This window comes from Homo sapiens, chromosome 19, assembly GCF_000001405.40.
Source record: "Homo sapiens chromosome 19, GRCh38.p14 Primary Assembly".
NCBI classification, from domain to species: Eukaryota; Metazoa; Chordata; class Mammalia; order Primates; family Hominidae; genus Homo; species Homo sapiens.
Window position 1 is genome coordinate 18274592 of NC_000019.10, and position 15382 is coordinate 18289973.

General features: G+C 56.1%; 1 protein-coding gene, 1 long non-coding RNA gene, 1 other non-coding gene and 1 pseudogene across 4 annotated transcripts, besides 10 other annotated features; 2 read left to right on the forward strand and 2 right to left on the reverse strand.

Annotated features, from left to right (window-relative positions):
- Positions 288-582: an enhancer, noted in NCBI's record as "tiled region #4774; HepG2 Activating DNase unmatched - State 1:Tss, and K562 Activating DNase matched - State 5:Enh". NCBI's record gives its function as "activates a minimal TATA promoter and a strong SV40 promoter by Sharpr-MPRA in HepG2 cells, with weaker activity in K562 cells {active_cell/tissue: HepG2 | K562}" and the evidence as "EXISTENCE:reporter gene assay evidence [ECO:0000049][PMID:27701403]".
- Positions 366-485: an enhancer, noted in NCBI's record as "active region_14308". NCBI's record gives its function as "activates an Ori minimal core promoter by ATAC-STARR-seq in GM12878 lymphoblastoid cells {active_cell/tissue: GM12878}" and the evidence as "EXISTENCE:reporter gene assay evidence [ECO:0000049][PMID:35858748]".
- Positions 4310-4389: an enhancer, noted in NCBI's record as "active region_14309". NCBI's record gives its function as "activates an Ori minimal core promoter by ATAC-STARR-seq in GM12878 lymphoblastoid cells {active_cell/tissue: GM12878}" and the evidence as "EXISTENCE:reporter gene assay evidence [ECO:0000049][PMID:35858748]".
- Positions 4730-4939: an enhancer, noted in NCBI's record as "active region_14310". NCBI's record gives its function as "activates an Ori minimal core promoter by ATAC-STARR-seq in GM12878 lymphoblastoid cells {active_cell/tissue: GM12878}" and the evidence as "EXISTENCE:reporter gene assay evidence [ECO:0000049][PMID:35858748]".
- Positions 4990-5189: a silencer, noted in NCBI's record as "silent region_10382". NCBI's record gives its function as "represses an Ori minimal core promoter by ATAC-STARR-seq in GM12878 lymphoblastoid cells {active_cell/tissue: GM12878}" and the evidence as "EXISTENCE:reporter gene assay evidence [ECO:0000049][PMID:35858748]".
- On the reverse strand, positions 5103-7031 carry JUND (JunD proto-oncogene, AP-1 transcription factor subunit). 2 transcript variants are annotated; one of them, NM_005354.6, is made up of 1 exon: positions 5103-7031. In NM_005354.6, the coding sequence occupies exon 1, from the start codon at positions 6891-6893 to the stop codon at positions 5850-5852; it is 1044 nt and encodes a 347-aa protein (NP_005345.3). In that variant the 5' UTR covers positions 6894-7031; the 3' UTR covers positions 5103-5849. Both variants share the same exon structure in this region, with proteins under 2 accessions (NP_005345.3, NP_001273897.1).
- Positions 5620-5929: a silencer, noted in NCBI's record as "silent region_10383". NCBI's record gives its function as "represses an Ori minimal core promoter by ATAC-STARR-seq in GM12878 lymphoblastoid cells {active_cell/tissue: GM12878}" and the evidence as "EXISTENCE:reporter gene assay evidence [ECO:0000049][PMID:35858748]".
- Positions 6165-7016: an enhancer, noted in NCBI's record as "H3K27ac hESC enhancer chr19:18391566-18392417 (GRCh37/hg19 assembly coordinates)". NCBI's record gives its function as "activates a minimal SCP1, AML or CMV promoter by ChIP-STARR-seq in primed H9 embryonic stem cells {active_cell/tissue: H9 hESC(primed)}" and the evidence as "EXISTENCE:reporter gene assay evidence [ECO:0000049][PMID:30033119]".
- Positions 6165-7509: a biological region, named in NCBI's record as "H3K27ac hESC enhancer GRCh37_chr19:18391566-18392417".
- Positions 6510-7509: a silencer, noted in NCBI's record as "silent region_10384". NCBI's record gives its function as "represses an Ori minimal core promoter by ATAC-STARR-seq in GM12878 lymphoblastoid cells {active_cell/tissue: GM12878}" and the evidence as "EXISTENCE:reporter gene assay evidence [ECO:0000049][PMID:35858748]".
- On the forward strand, positions 7486-7570 carry MIR3188 (microRNA 3188). The gene has a single exon (NR_036155.1). It is a non-coding gene; the product is annotated as a microRNA 3188 (primary transcript).
- Positions 7501-11342, forward strand: LOC124904652 (uncharacterized). The gene is made up of 2 exons (XR_007067154.1): positions 7501-8539; positions 10870-11342. It is a non-coding gene; the product is annotated as an uncharacterized LOC124904652 (long non-coding RNA).
- RPL39P38 (ribosomal protein L39 pseudogene 38) lies at positions 10572-10954 on the reverse strand (annotated as a pseudogene).
- Positions 13101-13944: an enhancer, noted in NCBI's record as "H3K27ac-H3K4me1 hESC enhancer chr19:18398502-18399345 (GRCh37/hg19 assembly coordinates)". NCBI's record gives its function as "activates a minimal SCP1, AML or CMV promoter by ChIP-STARR-seq in primed H9 embryonic stem cells {active_cell/tissue: H9 hESC(primed)}" and the evidence as "EXISTENCE:reporter gene assay evidence [ECO:0000049][PMID:30033119]".

The window sequence follows — 15382 nt, forward strand, 5'->3', positions numbered from 1 at the left end:
CCTACACCGGCTCATCCTGAGTACAAAGGGTTCTCAGCACAGAGGGAACCCCAAATCTCCCCCTCCATGTACCTAGAGGCAGTTTCAGTCTTTCATCCCACGGGCATTTTCTGAGCACCTACTATATGCTGGAATTTGCCCCATGTCTGGGGATACAAACAACTCAAAGAATTTGAGGCTGTAAAATGGCTAGATGGGAAGGGACCAAAAAGGGGGTGCAACGGGCCAGTCAGGGTTCTCACTGATGTCTTGGGTGTGGCTCTGAGACTGCGGGCTCCTTGGGGTGGGGCCGGACTTGATCTCTTGGGATCCCCACTGGGCCCGGCAAAAGTGGGTACTGACCCTGAGCCGCAGCGCTATAAGGGGAAGTCAGGCTGCTGTCCTGGATCACCTCCTGGGGCTGGGCTGGGGCCCAGCATGAGTCACCGCTGGCTGGGCCAAGGCTGACACGCACCTTGGACTCAGTGCAGCTGGCTCCAGCCAAAGCCAGCCTGGCCCAGAAGCCTCTGCCTGGCTTCCTTGGGGAGCCGCTGGGGGTTGCCGGGACAAGAACCAGCAGGGGTGCCTGACCTCCCTCTGCAGCGATCACCCCCTCCAAAACCTTCCCTATACTGTGGGTGTGACTTTGGACAAAATCAGGGACATGGCAGATGGCAGTTGGGTGGGGTTTATATCCTTTGTCTGTTTTTTGAGATTGAGTCTCGCTCTGTTGCCCAGGCTGGAGTGCAGTGCTACGATCTCAGCTCACTGCAACCTCCACCTCCCCGGGTTCAAGCGATTCTCGTGCCTCAGCCTCCTGAGTAGCTGGGACTACAGGTGCATGCTATGACGCCCAGCTGATTTATGTAGTTTTAGTAGAGATAGGATTTCACCATGTTGGCCAGGCTGGTCTCAAACTCCTGACCACAAGTGATCCGCCTGCTGCGGCCTCCCAAAGTGCTGGGATTACAGGCATGAGCCACTGCACCCAGCTCATCCTTTGGATGTTTCATCAGAACAGGTCCCTTCTGTGCTGTCAACGAGCTAAACACAAACTGGGAGTTCTCAGGGCAATTGGAGACCGTAGGAGCCCAGTAAGGTGCTGGCCTAGCCTGAGGGTTACTAGGGACAGGCTTCCGAGGACTGTGCAGCTGAGGCTGGGAGGTGGCGCTCAGCTGCATGACTGGGGGAAGAGTAGCTGGCACAGAACTACAGCTGCAGCCGTGCAAAGACCCTGAGGCCAGGAAGGCAGGATATTGGGAATTTGGGTGGAGAGGCTCCTGAAAGGAGACACTGGCCAGCCCAGGGACTGGTGCAGTCAGGACTTTTTCCAAAAAGGTTTCAAGTAAGGAGTCAGATCTGTGATTTAGAAAAAGCCCTTCACATCACAGCTCATGCCTGCTTGACTCCCCCATCAGACTGGAGGGCTGGCCTCAACTAGGTGTCAATAAATGCTGGGGACGCTGGGCGCGATGGTTCATGCCTATAATCCCAGCACTTTGGGAGGCCAAGGCGGGCAGATCGATTGAGCCCAGGAGTTTGAGACCAGCCTGACCAATATGGCAAAACCTCGTCTCTACTAATAATACAAAAATTAGTCAGGCATGATGGCAAATGCCTGTAATCCCAGCTACTTTGGTGGCTGAGGCAGGAGAGTCACTTGAACCCAGGAGGTGGAGGCTACAGTGAGCCAAGATTGCACCACTGCACTCCAGCCTGAATGAGAGACCCTGACTCAAAAAAAAAAAAAAAAAAAAAAAAAAAAAAGAGGCCGAGTACAGTGGCTCAATACCTGTAGTCCCAGCATTTTGGGAGACCGAGGTTGGAGGATCACTTGAACACAGGAGTTCAAAACCAGCCTGGGCAACATAGATCCCATCTCTACAAAAAAATTATTTAAAAATTAGTAGGGCGGCTGGGCGTGGTGGCTCACGCCTGTAATCCCAGCACTTTGGGAGGCCAAGGCTGGCGGATCATGAGGTCAGGTGATCGAGATCAACCTGGCTAACACGGTGAAAGCCCATCTCTATTAAAAACACAAAAAAATTAGCCAGGCATGGTGGCAGGCGCCTGTAGTCCCAGCTACTCAGGAGGCTGAGGCAGGAGAATGGCGTGAACCTGGGAGGCGGAGCTTGCAATGAGCCGAGATGGCGCCACTGCACTCCAGCCTGGGCGGCAGAGCAAGACTCCGTCTCAAAGAAAAAATAAAAATAAAAATTAGTAGGGCATGGTGGCGTGCACCTGTGGTCCCAGCTACTTGGGAGGCTGAGGTGAGGCAGGACAATCAGTTGAGCCTAGGAGGTCAAGGCTGCAGTGAGCTGTGGTCTTGCCACTGCACTCTGGCCAAGGCAAGAGCGAGACCTCATCTTGTAAAGAAAAAAAAAAACAAACTTGTGGGGCCCAGTGGCTCACGCCTGTAATCCCAGCACTTTGGGAAGCCAAGGTGGGTGGATCACCTGAGGTCAGGAGTTCGAGACCAGCCTGGGCAACATGGTGAAACCCTGTCTCTACTAAAAATACAAAAAAAAATTTAGCCAGGCAGGGTGGCTCACGCCTGTAATCCCAGAAACTTTGGGAAGCTGAGGCGGGCAGATCACGAGGTCAGGAGATCGAGACCATCCTGGCTAACACGGTGAAACCCCGTCTCTACTAAAAACACAAAAAAATTAGCCGGGCATAGTGGCGGGCGCCTGCAGTCCCAGCTACTCAGGAGGCTGAGGCAGGAGAATGGCATGAACCAGGGAGGCAGAGCTTGCAGTGAGCTGAGATCGCGCCACCGCACTCCAGCCTGGGAGACAGAACGAGACTCCGTCTCAAAAAAAAAAATTTAGCTGGGCATGGTGGCAGACACCTGTAATCCCAGCTAATCAAGAGGCTGAGGCAAGAGAATCGATTGAAACTGGGAGGTGGAGGTTGCGGTAAGCCAAGATCAGGCCATTGCACTCCAGCCTGGGCGACAAGAGGAAGACTCAGTCTCAAAAAAAAAAAAGAAAAACAAAGTACGTCCTCCACCTCTCTGCAGGGCTCCTCAGAGTCCTTTCGCCTTAGACCACTTGGGGGCAGGCAAGCAAGAGACCTGGGTTTGAATCGCTGCTCTGCCATTTAACAGGGGTGTTGGCCGGGCACGGTGGCTCACGCCTGTAATCCCAGCACTTCGGGAGGCCGAGGCGGGCGGATCATGAGGTCAGGGGATCAAGACCATCCTGGCTAACACGGTGAAACCCCATCTCTACTAAAAGTACAAAAAATTAGCCAGGCGTGGTGGCGGGCGCCTGTATTCCCAGCTACTCAGGAGGCTGAGGCAGGAGAATGGCATGAACCCAGGAGGCGAAGCTTGCAGTGAGCCGAGACTGCGCCACTGCACTCCAGCCTGGGAGACAGAGCGAGACTCTGTCTCAAAAAAAAAAAAAAAAAAAAACAGGGGTGTTGGGCAAGTCTCAAAACCTCCCTTCCCCTTCTCTACTAATTGGGGGCCACAGTAGGTACCATCATTGAGTGCGGTCACTGTTGTCCGTCCCCTGAGCACCTCCCAGTTCTGACTTCTGACCTGAGAGATGTTATGCTGGATGCAAACACCCGCATCTCACAGCACAGGATGTAGAGGCCATCGGGGGAGGAGGACTCGCCTGAGATCTCACAAATGCCAACTGGAACCTAAGCTGGGTCCCGGTCTCCCAACCAGTGACACTCTGCCCGAGATGTGGTTCTTGGTCTCTTGTGTGTCAAGACACCCCTGCTCTCCCACCTCAGCCTCAGTTCCCTTCAGCAGGTTCCTTCAGGCCCTGCTGAAACGTCTGCATGACCTCCCACAAGGCAACGTGACAGCTAAAAACCAAACCCTGGCCGGACGTGGGGGCTCACGCCTGTAATCCCAGCACTTTGGGAGGCCGAGGCGGGTGGACCACTTGAGGTCAGGAGTTCCAGACCAGCTTGACCAACATGGTGAAACCCTGTCTCTACTACAAATACAAAAAAGTAGCCGAGCATGGTGGGCACCTGTAATCTGAGCTACTTGGAGGCTGAGGCAGGAGAATCACTTGAGCCCGGGGAGGCAGAGGTTGCAGTGAGCCTAGATGGCGCCACTGCACTCCAGTCTGGGTGACAGAGCGAGACTCTGTCTCAAACAAATGAACCCCAACATAGCTGTTGGTGGCAAGGCCTTTCTCCATGACCAAGGGACGGTGGCCATTCTCTCCAAGTTTCTTCATCTGTAAAATGGGTACAATTCAGTGGCCCTCCCTAACAGGGCTGGCTAGGTACACATGGCCACCAGCCCTACTTGCTGTGTGACCTCGGCCACTAATGTTCACATCCCTCAGGGTCCCCAATGAGTTGGAAGCCCAAAGCGCAGGGTCTTAACAGCAAAGGGCAGAGCAGGCAGGAGAAGCAGGAAGCCTCGGGTCAAAGCTCTGAAAGTGAGGGAGTCCAAGGTCAGACTATCTCTGCACAGTCTCCTTAAAAGGCTGTGTGATGTCAAGCCAGTTGCTCAACCTCTCTGAACCTTAGATTTCCTCAAAGTAGGGAGTAGGATGTTGGGAGGAGGAGGAGAAGCGAACTTCAGGGAGATACTTGGAAAATCCCAGTCCTGGAGGCAGACCTCTTGGGTTAGATCCCACCTGTGCCAACTTCCTCCTGGTACTGGGTCCATCAGCTTGTCCTGGGCCTCAGCATCCCCCGATCCACCAAAAGAGAAAAGCTTACACTGTAAGCCAAGCACTGCTCTGTAAACATAAACTCTCTTAATCGTCACAACTTTATGGGGCAAGTTTTTCGACTGTTCTCCCCATTTTATACGGACAGGCAAACCAAGGACCAAAAGGTTAAAAAGTTTACTAAGTTTCTGTCTCTTCCTTCCTGCTTTGGGCTGGGGCTGTGCCCTTTCCACCTCGAAATCTCTCCTTCCCAAAAGGCAAGGGGGCATTAGCTAGTTCCAAACGCAGATCAAAGACCCCAAGACCCCTCCCCAACCTGGACATCAGCCGGCCCCGCGCCAAGGCGCGTCTAGGGGGCGCTCGCTGCGCGCCAGATGTGCGGGCCGCTCTCAGACACCCGCTCTCTGCTCCCTCCAACAAGGGGAGGAGCTAGGGACAGAGGGAGGAGAGAAAGGCGGGGGTGTAGGGGGGAAGCGAACCAGGCCCCGCCCAGCCCGCCAGGCCCCGGCGGGGGAAGAAGGAGGCGGAGAGCCGAGCTGGCGTAACGAGACTTTACTGAAAACAGAAAACCGGGCGAACCAAGGATTACAAACAGGAATGTGGACTCGTAGCAAAACAAAACAAAACAGAACAAAAAAGGGAGGGGGGACCGGTCGAAAGAACCGAAGGGGGGAGCGAGATCGAGGAAAGGGGCGGAGAATTTTTTTTTCTTCTTCCCATTTCTTTAAAAAACCAACACAAGAAAACACACACACACACAACCAACGTTTGTTCCCGAGTAGAAACATAAATAGGGCAGAATCGAACACTCTGTTCTTCTCTCTTCCAAAGAAAAAAAAAAAAAAGTAAAAGTAAAGGAAAGGCAGGGTTTGAGGCTGCGCCCCCTCGGAGCCCCCTTCCGCGGCGCGGTGTACAAAGGGGCAGCCGAGACGCGCGGGTTTGTGCAACACGGGGCGGCCGCGCGGGGGAAAGAGGCAGCGCGAGGGCGGGGGGGTCATGCGCTCGCCCCCCCGGGAGCAGGGGGTCCAGCTTGTCGAGTCCTGGGCACCCTCGGGGGGGGGGAATCCCCGGGGGCCGCGCCCTCTCTGAGTTCCTGGGCACACTCGGGGAGGGGGGGTCCCCAGGGCCGCACCCTCTCCAAGTCCGGGGCGCCCACGACACCCCCCCGCGAGCCCGCCCCTTGGGGAGGGTGGCCGCGCATGCGCCCCGCGCGCGGACTCAGTACGCGGGCACCTGGTGCTGGGGCAGCAGCTGGCAGCCGCTGTTGACGTGGCTGAGGACTTTCTGCTTGAGCTGCGCCACCTGCTCGCGCAGCAGGCTCGCCGTGGACGCCAGCTCCGTGTTCTGACTCTTGAGGGTCTTCACTTTCTCTTCCAGGCGCGAGATGCGCTCCAGCTTGCGCTTGCGGCACTTGGAGGCGGCGATGCGGTTGCGCAGCCGCTTGCGCTCCGCCTTGATGCGCTCCTGCGTGTCCATGTCGATGGGCGACAACGGCGGGCTCTCGCCGAAGCTCGGCACGTCGGGCACCGTCTGTGGCTCGTCCTTGAGCGCAGCCAGGCGCGGCGGCCCCAACGCGCCTGGGGGTGGCGGCGGCGGGAAGGGCACAGGTTCGGCAGCGAAGGCGACCGTCGCGGCGCCCCCCGCGCCCCCGGCGCCGCCCGCGTAGCTGCTCAGGTTCGCGTAGACAGGCGCTTCGGGCGCGGCCGCCGCCGGGGCCAGCTCGCCGGGGGGCGCGGAGCCCGTGGCCGTGCCCGAGGGCCCCCCGGCGGCGGCGGCGGCGGCGGCAGCGGCCGCGCCCGCGCCGAGCTGGTTCTGCTTGTGTAAATCCTCCAGGGCCTTGACGAAGCCCTCGGCGAACTCCTGCTCCTCGCTGGCCGCCACCTTGGGGTAGAGGAACTGTGAGCTCGTCGGCGTGGTGGTGACCAGCCCGTTGGACTGGATGATGAGGCGCTCGAGCTCGGGGGAGGCCAGCTTCAGCAGCCCCAGGTCGGGAGAGGCGAGCAGGCCGTCGGGGGGTGCCGCGCTGGGGGCGCCGTCGGCGCGCAGGGGGGTAGGAGGCGGCGCGGCCGCAGGCTTGAGCGCTGCCGCCACCTGCTCACTCAGGCTCAGCGTCAGCGCGTCCTTCTTCATCATGCTGCCGGCCGCGGCCGTCGGGGGCGCCCCGGGGAACAAGCGGCCCGGGGACGCGAAGCTGCCGCCGCTGCCACTGGCGCCGCCGCCCAGGCCGCTCAGCGCCTCATCGCCGTAGAAGGGTGTTTCCATCCTCCGCCTCCCCCGCCGCGCCGGCCCGGGGGGGAGTGGCCGCGGCCTCCCGGGGGGCCCGCGCCCCCCCGTCCGCTCGGCCCTGCGCCCGCCCCGGCCGCGGCCGCAGCGCCCGGCCCTCCACTGGCGGCGGCTCCTGCGCCGCGCCACTTGTGCGCCCTCTTATAGCCTCGGCTCGGCGCGATGAGCTCACCGCCCCCGTTCGCCATTGGGTGCGGGTGACGTCGCTCATTTGCATGGAGGGGCGGGGCCAAGCCGCCGACGCCCGCCCGGCCGCCGTTGCCCCGGCGACGCGCGGTAAACGCCACAACAGCGCGCTGCCTTGTGGGTTGACGTCATGGGGGCGGCCGCGCGCCCGGGCCGGGTCACCCCGCCCCGGGACCGCTGTGTACGACCGATCTCCCCGGCGCCGCCTCCGCCAAGGCACGTCCCGGGTGGCGTGATGGGCCCGGGCCACCAGGCGCCCGCCCGCCCCGAGGCCCCGCCCCGTGTCCGCGCGTGGGGCCCCGGCCGGGCGGGGGCGGGGGCGGGGGCGGTGCCGGCCTCCGGGGACTGGAGGGGGATGGGGTCCCGCATGGCTAAATAACTCCTTGGCGCCTCCTGCTCTGCTGTGCCGCCAGGGCCTCCCCTAGCGCGCCTTCTGGAGAGGCTTTGTGCGGATACGGGGCTGGAGGCCTGGTGGGGCTGTGTCCGGGGGCTCGCCGGGGGTGTGGGGAGGTCTGCGTTCCTCACCCTCCCTCCTTCCTTCCCTCCCTCCCTCCACCCCGCGTGTGATTGCTCAGGAAGAGACGGGAGGGGAGAGGAGGGTCGCCAGAAGTTGCTGAAAGCGCTTGGATCCTGATCATTTTCACTGAGTGCGTTCTAGAACCAGGAGTCCTACTTCCTGCCTTTACAGATGGGAAACTGGGCTCAGAGAGGTGGAGTGACCATCCCCCGAGAGTTAGCTAGGAGTCACAGCAGGGCCCGGGCTGTGACTAGGCCTGAGCTCTTGTCCACCCTTAGAACCCTAGAACCTGGGAGTCCAGGCCCCTGCGCAGCCCCTTCCTTCCGCCGCCCACGTTTTAACCCCAGGTCTGCCAGGGCTGTGATGTCCTGGGCGAGGGTGCCCAACTCCAGGGGCTGGGCTGATGAGGCAGGAATGCCGGGTATAATTATTACATGCTTGTTACCACTATCATGGCTGTTAGGGCTTAATGAGCCACTATTAAGACTGGCTGGGAAGGGGGTGTGAGGGAGGAGAGATGGACCCACCCCACCAATACTCACAAGGGATCCTTAGGACATCTGGATCTGACCTACAGCCTCTGCATGCACCCCTCCAGCTCCCCACCTCTGTCTGAATGGAGCCCACACCCTCCTTTCCCTGACCTCCTTCCCCTCACTCTCTCTGATCCTTGGCCTCCCAGTTGCAGGACTAATCGTACCTCTGGGCCTTTGCACGTGCTATGCTCTCTGCTTGGTACTCCCTTCCCCCAGTGCAAAGATGTGTCTTCAGGAAGTGCCCCACCCTCAGACTTTACTCCTTTATTGTAGCCTCTGAATCTGCCAGAATGATGGAGTGGACCATAGTCCCTGAAGGTCAGGGACATTGCCTATGCTGAGCCTGCTGACAGGGCCTCGCATAGAATGGATGCTCAGTATTAAAGGTGAATGCGGGGCTGGGTGTGGTGGCTCATGCCTGTAATCCCAGCACTTTGGGAGGCCGAGGCAGGCAGATCACTTGAGGTCAGCAGTTCAAGACCAGACTGGCCGAAATACAAAAATACAAAAAAAAAAAAAAATACGAAAATTAACCGGGTGTGGTGGTGTGCACCTGTAATCCCAGCTACTCAGGAGGCTGAGACATGAGAATCGCTTGAACCCGGGAGGCAGAGGTTGCAGTGAGCTGAGATTGTGCCACTGCACTCCAGCCTGGGAGACAGAGTGAGACTCCAGTCTCAAAAAAAAATAAAAAATAAAGGTGAATGCAACAAAAGGTTGCTTGTGTGGGTGGTCTCTAGCCTCAGTTTGTCTGCCTGGCCAGTGGGCATGCGTTACTCCTTTTCTATCCTCCTTACTCACCTGGCTCTGCCCCCAACTGGGGCATGAAGGCCATAAGGGAGGCTGTCCTCATCACCAAGAGAGGTGGCCTGTCGGCCACACGCGGTGACTCCTGCCTGTAATCCCAGCACTTTGGAAGTCTGAGGCAGGCATTTGAGGTCAGGAGTTTGAGACCAGCCTGACCATCATGGTGAAACCCCATCTCTATTGAAAATAAAAATTAGGCTGGGCGCAGAGGCTCACGCCTGTCATCCCAGCACTTTAGGAGGCCAAGGCAGGCTGATCACGAGGTCAGGAGATCAAGACCATCCTGGTTAACACGGTGAAACCCTGTCTCTACTGAAAAATAAAAAAAAAAATTAGCCGGGCATGGTGGCGGGCGCCTGTAGTCCCCAGCTACTCGGGAGGCTGAGGCAGGAGAATGGCATGAACCCGGGAGGCAGAGCTTGCAGTGAGCCGAGATCACACCACTACACTCCAGCCTGGGCAACAGAGCGAGACTCCGTCTCAAAAAAAAAAAAGAAAAAAGAAAAGAAAAAAAAATTAGCCAGGTGTGGTGGCAGGTGCCTGTAATCCCAGCTAGTCGGGAGGCTGAGGCAGGAGAATCGCTTGAACCCGGGAGGTGGAGGTTGCAGTGAGCCGAGATTGCGCCATTGCACTCCAGCCTGGGCTACAGAGTGAGACACTGTCTCAAAAAAAAAAAAGAAGAAAAAAAAAATAGGCTGGGCGAGGTGGCTCACACCTGTAATAAGCACTTTGGGAGGCTGAGGCGGGCAAGTCATCTGAGGTCAGGAGTTCGAGACCAGCCTGGCCAATATGGCAAAACCCTGTCTCTACTAAAAATACAAAAATTAGCCAGGCATGGGGAGCGCACCGGTAATCCCAGCTGCTCTGGAGAAAGGAGAATCACTTGAACCCAGGAGATGGAGGTTGCAGTGAGCTGAAATCATGCCACTACACTCCAGCCTGGGCAACAGGGCAAGACTCCATCTTAAAAATAATAATAATAATAATAATAATAATAATAATAATAATAATAAAGACCTGGCCTGGCAGGCCTGGGATTCAAATTGCCAGGGCAGGGAACTGGAGGTGTGGGTTTGTTTTGTCTCTAGATTGGTTAGGAAGGTGTCTGTCTGCCTATTGGAGTGTGTGTCTGTGTGTGCACCTGTGTCTGTCTGTATTCGTGTTGTATAGACAGACGCAGGTACACACAGATACATACTCAGATCCATGGGTCTCTGTGCTCTCTAGCCCAGGTTCTATCCTGGACAAAGAGATCCCTAGTGGGACAAGATCCAGCCCGCAGACCTGTAGCCAGCCCTGCCCTGGGAACCCCTCTCTGGGTCCCGTGCAGTGGGGCCAGAGTGGAGGAGACGGGGTCATGCCTCTCCCTGAGGCAGGAGGTGAGTGGGCGGCCTACAGAGGCCCTGCCCTGAACTTGGGCCTCAGCCTTGGCAGCTGGGGAGATGGTCTGGTGAATGGTAGGCTGAGACAGCCTGAGCTGAGTGGAGCACTTTCCTGCAGGCAGGCAGGTGAGATACAGAGGCCTGTCAACCTCTCTGAGCCTCAGCTTTTCCTTCATGAAAATTGAGCAAATAAACCTACCTACTTTGTGGAGTATCGCGATTTTTTTTTTTGAAATGAAAGGCCTCACATATTTATTACTGAACCCAGCCAACCCACACGTTCATAACAGATTCAGAGAGGAAAACACGTCGAACTCTCCAGATAGTGGTGACACTTTCAGTTTGATATGCTAACGTGATCGTGACCTTCAGACAGCATAAATATGTGTGCCATCTCATGTGCAATTCCTTATAGACCCAGCTTGGTTCTTCTCCAGTGTCCTTTTGGAGTTGTACCTGATTTTATTTCCAGTTTTCATCCAAATCCACTGGGGAATGGGACGATTTTGCTTTTGTTTCTTGTCCAGGAATCGCTTAATCCTGAAAGTCTTGTAGGAAGATATGGCGAGAAGTGGAGTCAAGAACACACCACGATGGTGCAGAAAGGAAAAGCATTGCGATTTTTATTGGATTTGAAGAAATAGTAAGGGGTCAGGCTGGGTGTGGTGGCGCACGCCTGTAATCTCAGCACTTTGGGAGGCTGAGGCAGGTGGATCACGAGGTCAGGCGTTCGAGACCAGCCTGGCCAACATAGTGAAACCTTGTCTCTACTAAAAATACAAAAATTCTCCCGGTGTGGTGGCGCACGCCTTTAGTCCCAGCTACTTGGGAGGCTGAGGCAGGAGAATCACTTGAACCCAGGAGGAGGAGGTTGCAGTGAGCCGAGATCGCGCCACTGCACTCCAGCCTGGGCAACAGAGTGAGACTCCAACTCAAAAAAAAAAAAAAAAGAAAGAAAAAACAAATAGTAAGGGGTCAATAAATGCTTTCTATGATTGTATTATTTGCCCAAATGTAACTGCAGTTCTTTGGTTTTGAGTTCTCTCAGCTTGGAATACCCTTACACTCTTGGCGAACTCCTACTCATCCTTCAAAACCCACCACCTTCTCCAAGAAACCCTTCCTGACCATGTCCCCTAGGACCGTCGTCAATCCTCTCCATCTGGCTAAGACCTGTCTGTCCCTTATCTGTGTCTTGTTCTGTCTCCTCCATAGAAGGGGAGGGGAGGTCTTCAGGACTGGATGGGGAAGGCCTCTCCTGGCCCCTAAGTGTGGGAAGCTGCCTTTGCCACCCCCAAGGGCTCCTTTCTTCTTTTTTTTGAGATGGAGTCTCGCTCTGTCGCCCAGGCTGGAGTGCAGTGGCTTGATCTTGGCTCACTGCAACCTTCCCCTCCTGGGTTCAAGCGATTCTCCTGCCTCAGCCTCCCTAAATAGCTGGGATTACAGGCATGTGCCAACACGCCCGGCTAATTTTTTGTATTTTTAGTAGAGACGGGGTTTCACGATGTTGGTCAGGCTGGCCTTGAGCCTGACCTCATGATCTGCCCGCCTCAGCCTCCCAAAGTGCTGGGATTACAGGCTTGAGTCACTGCGCCTGGCCTCCCTTTTTCTTTCTCTTCGCATTTTCTGTTGCTCCACCTCAATGCCCTTTCCTACCCTCTCCTTCCTCCTCCCAGCCAGAGAGCCCTCTGGGACACCCCATTCCTGTCCTTCCATTTATCCCAGCCCTGACACCACAGCAGCTGTTGGTCCAGCTCTGTTTTCCCAGAGTGGGGGTTCCTCCGGGGCAGATCTGAAGCCACTTTGGACATATGGGGCGGAGGGTGTCTCTAACGCCATCAGCTAGTCCCATACAATGAACTAGAGAGAACTTTCATTCATTCAATCCACATACACTGATTGAGCCCCTACTGTAAGCCAGGGGAAAGGGCACACATGAACAAGACCAACATCTGCACCTTTGTAGGTCCCCACACCAAGGGAGAGCCAGACCGGCGCAGTTTTCAGGAGAATCAATGGTGTCCCCGCCATAGATGGTAGTGGAGGGGGCTGATATTTTAGAGTTTGGGTAATCTGGGAGGGGTGGCCCAGGATGTAACACCAAGTGACAGACAAGCTGGACTTAATTGCCAATTATTGGGGGATCAGAGGGTTCCGGTAATAGGAACAGCCAGTTCAAAGGCCCCGGGGCAGGAACCAGTTGGACACATTTCTAGAAGGTGGGGAGGCAGGTGGGACTGGATTGGGAAGCCAGTGAGTGCCAAAGGAAGAGAAGGGGAGTGCCGAAGCCTCCACCTCTGCTCAGGAGGGATTTACCCCCAAGGCAATGAAAGTTGCAGATGAGGTTGGGGCAACACTAGGGCTTGGTCCGGGACTCTGCATTTTCACCTTTATCTCAGCAGCAGCTCCACGAGTGGTGAGGGACGTTATCCCACTTCTCAGGGCAGTGTCTGGAGGGGGCGCGCGACGTGCCCAGAGTCGTACAGGCCAGGCCAGAGAGAACCCTGCCCTCCAAGCAGAAGCCGAACCTGACGCCCCGCAGCCGCCGGGGTTTGAATCGCTGCGGCTGTAGTCCTTCCCCAGCGCAGAGATTTATTGTTTAAAGCAACCTGCAGGCCGGGCACAGTGGCTCAGGGCAGTAATCCCAGCACTTTGGGAGGCCAAGGAGGGAGGGTCGCTTGAGCCCAGGAGTTTGAGACCAGCCTGAGCAATCTAGTGAGACCTCTTCTCTACAAAAATAAAAAAGTTCGCTGGGCATGGTGGTACACGCCTGTGGTCCCAGCTACTTGGGAGGGTGAGGTGGGAGAATCGCTTGGGCCCGGGTAAGTTGAGGCTGCAGTTTAATTTTTAGTCTTTATTTGAACACCCAGAAACCAAAAATCACGTTGATAAATCGGAAAGCCCCAAAGAAAACCGAGTTAAGCAGGCAGCCGAAGGGGTGAGGTGGAGCCAGGCACTCACGACCCCACAGCGGGGAGGTGGGGCTTGTGAGGACCCTAATCCAGCGCTTAGGACCCTTAGGCTCGCAGAGGCGGGACTTGCAGGGAAAGTGCCCCGACTGCCGGACCCCCGCAGGGCGGTCGGGAGTGGGGCGCCAGACTCGGGCTGGGGGCGCTGTCTGGCCCGCACATTCCTGAGGATCAAGTTACCCGAGAAGGCTGAGGCCTCTCTGTTCCCCTCCTGCCAGGCTTCCGCCCTCTCCAGGAGCAGGAACCGCAGTCTGTCCCCAGTCCAGCGCAGGTGTCTGCCCAGCCTCTCGGAGGGGACCCAGGCCCTGCCCTCTGGACTGGCACCGGATCCCTCCTGCCTCATAAAACCATTTTACAGATGAGGAAACTGAGGCACAGCCCCCCTTCAGCATTGATGGAACCAGATTGAACCTGGCTCTGCCAGCTTTATGACCATTTTTACTAACTGGGCAGGCCTAGAAGAATGGTTCAGTCAAGTGTTTGTTGATTGACTGACCATCTAGAATCAGTCTCCAAAGCCTCTTATTATAGCACAAGGAGAAAAGAACTTCCCATACCACTTACCCTCCTACCCCACCCTAGGACAGACAGGACCCCTGCACTTATCCAGCATGCATTTAATGTGCACTTCCTGTATGCCCAGGCCTGGGTTAGGCCGTTTCACAGGTAGATACTGGAGAACCAGAGGGTTTGGGGATCAGAAGGTAGTGAATTTGCTTTCTTTAGACCAACTTCAGAAATTGGTTTGGGCCAGGCAAAATGGCTCACCCCTGCAATCCTAGCACTTTGGGAGGCCGAGGCAGGAGGACTGCTTGAGGCCAAGCATTCAAGACCAACCTGGCCAACATAACATGACGATACCCCCGTCTCCAAAAAAAAAAAAAAAAAAAGAGGCCAGGCACCGTAACTCATGCCTGCAATCCCAGCACTTTGGGAGTCTGAGGCGGGCGGATCATGAGGTCAGGAGATCGAGACCATCCTGGCTAACACGGTGAAAACCTGTCTCTACTAAAAATACAAAAAAAAAATTAGCCAGGCGTGGTGGGCAGGTACCTGTAGTCCCAGCTACTGGGGAGGCTGAGGCAGGAGAATGGTGTGAACCCGGGAGGCGGAGCTTGCAGTGAGCCAAGATCGCACCACTGAACTCCAGCCTGGGTGACAGAGTGAGACTCTGTCTCAAAAAAAAAAAAAAAAAAAAAAAAAAGATAAATTGGTTTGTAGTCTGAGCAGGGTGGCTCATGCTTATAATCCCAGCTCTTTGAGAGGCAGAGACAGGAGGATCTCCTGAGCCCAGAAGTTCAAGAGCAGCCTGGGCAACATAGCAAGAACCCATCTCTACAAAAAGATAGAAAAATTAGCTGGTTGGGAGGCTGAGGCGGGCGGATCACAAGGTGAGGAGATCGAGACCAGCCTGGCCAACATGGTGAAACCCCATCTCTACTAAAAATAGAAAAATTAGCCGGGTGTGGTGGCGCATGCCTGTAATCCCAGCTACTCAGGAGGCTGAGGCAGGAGAATCGCTTGAACCTGGGAGGCAGAGATTGCAGTGAGCTGAGATCGTGCCACTGCACTCCAGCCTGGGCAACAGAGCGAGACCCTGTCTCAAAAAAAAAAAAAGCTGGTTTGGTTTTTTGTTTCTTGGTTGTTTTGGGCCAAACTCACATACCATCATTCATCGATTCAACCATGCTTTTTTTTTTTTTTTTTTTTTTGGAGACAAAGTGTCACTCTGTCTCTGAGGCTGGTGTGCAGTGGCACGTTCTCAGCTCACTGCAATCTCTGCCTCCCAGGTTCAAGCAATTCTAGTGCCTCAGCCACCAGAGTAGCTGGGATTACAGGCACATGCCACCACACCAACTAATTTTTGTATTTTTAGTAGAGATGGGGTTTCTCCATGTTGACCAGGCTGGTCTTGAACTCCTCACCTCAAGTGATCCGCCTGCCTCAACCTCCAAAAGTTCTGGGATTATAGGCATGAGCCACTGCGCCCGACGACCATGCTCTATTGAGTGCCCGCTGTGTGCTGGGCAGGTGGGTTCTCACCGCCCAGAGGTGATGTTCTGGGGGACTG

What these genes read in the sequence shown, in the direction of transcription:
- JUND (NM_005354.6), bottom strand. Translation starts at nt 6,893, where the DNA reads ATGGAAACACCCTTCTACGGCGATGAGGCGCTGAGCGGCCTGGGCGGC.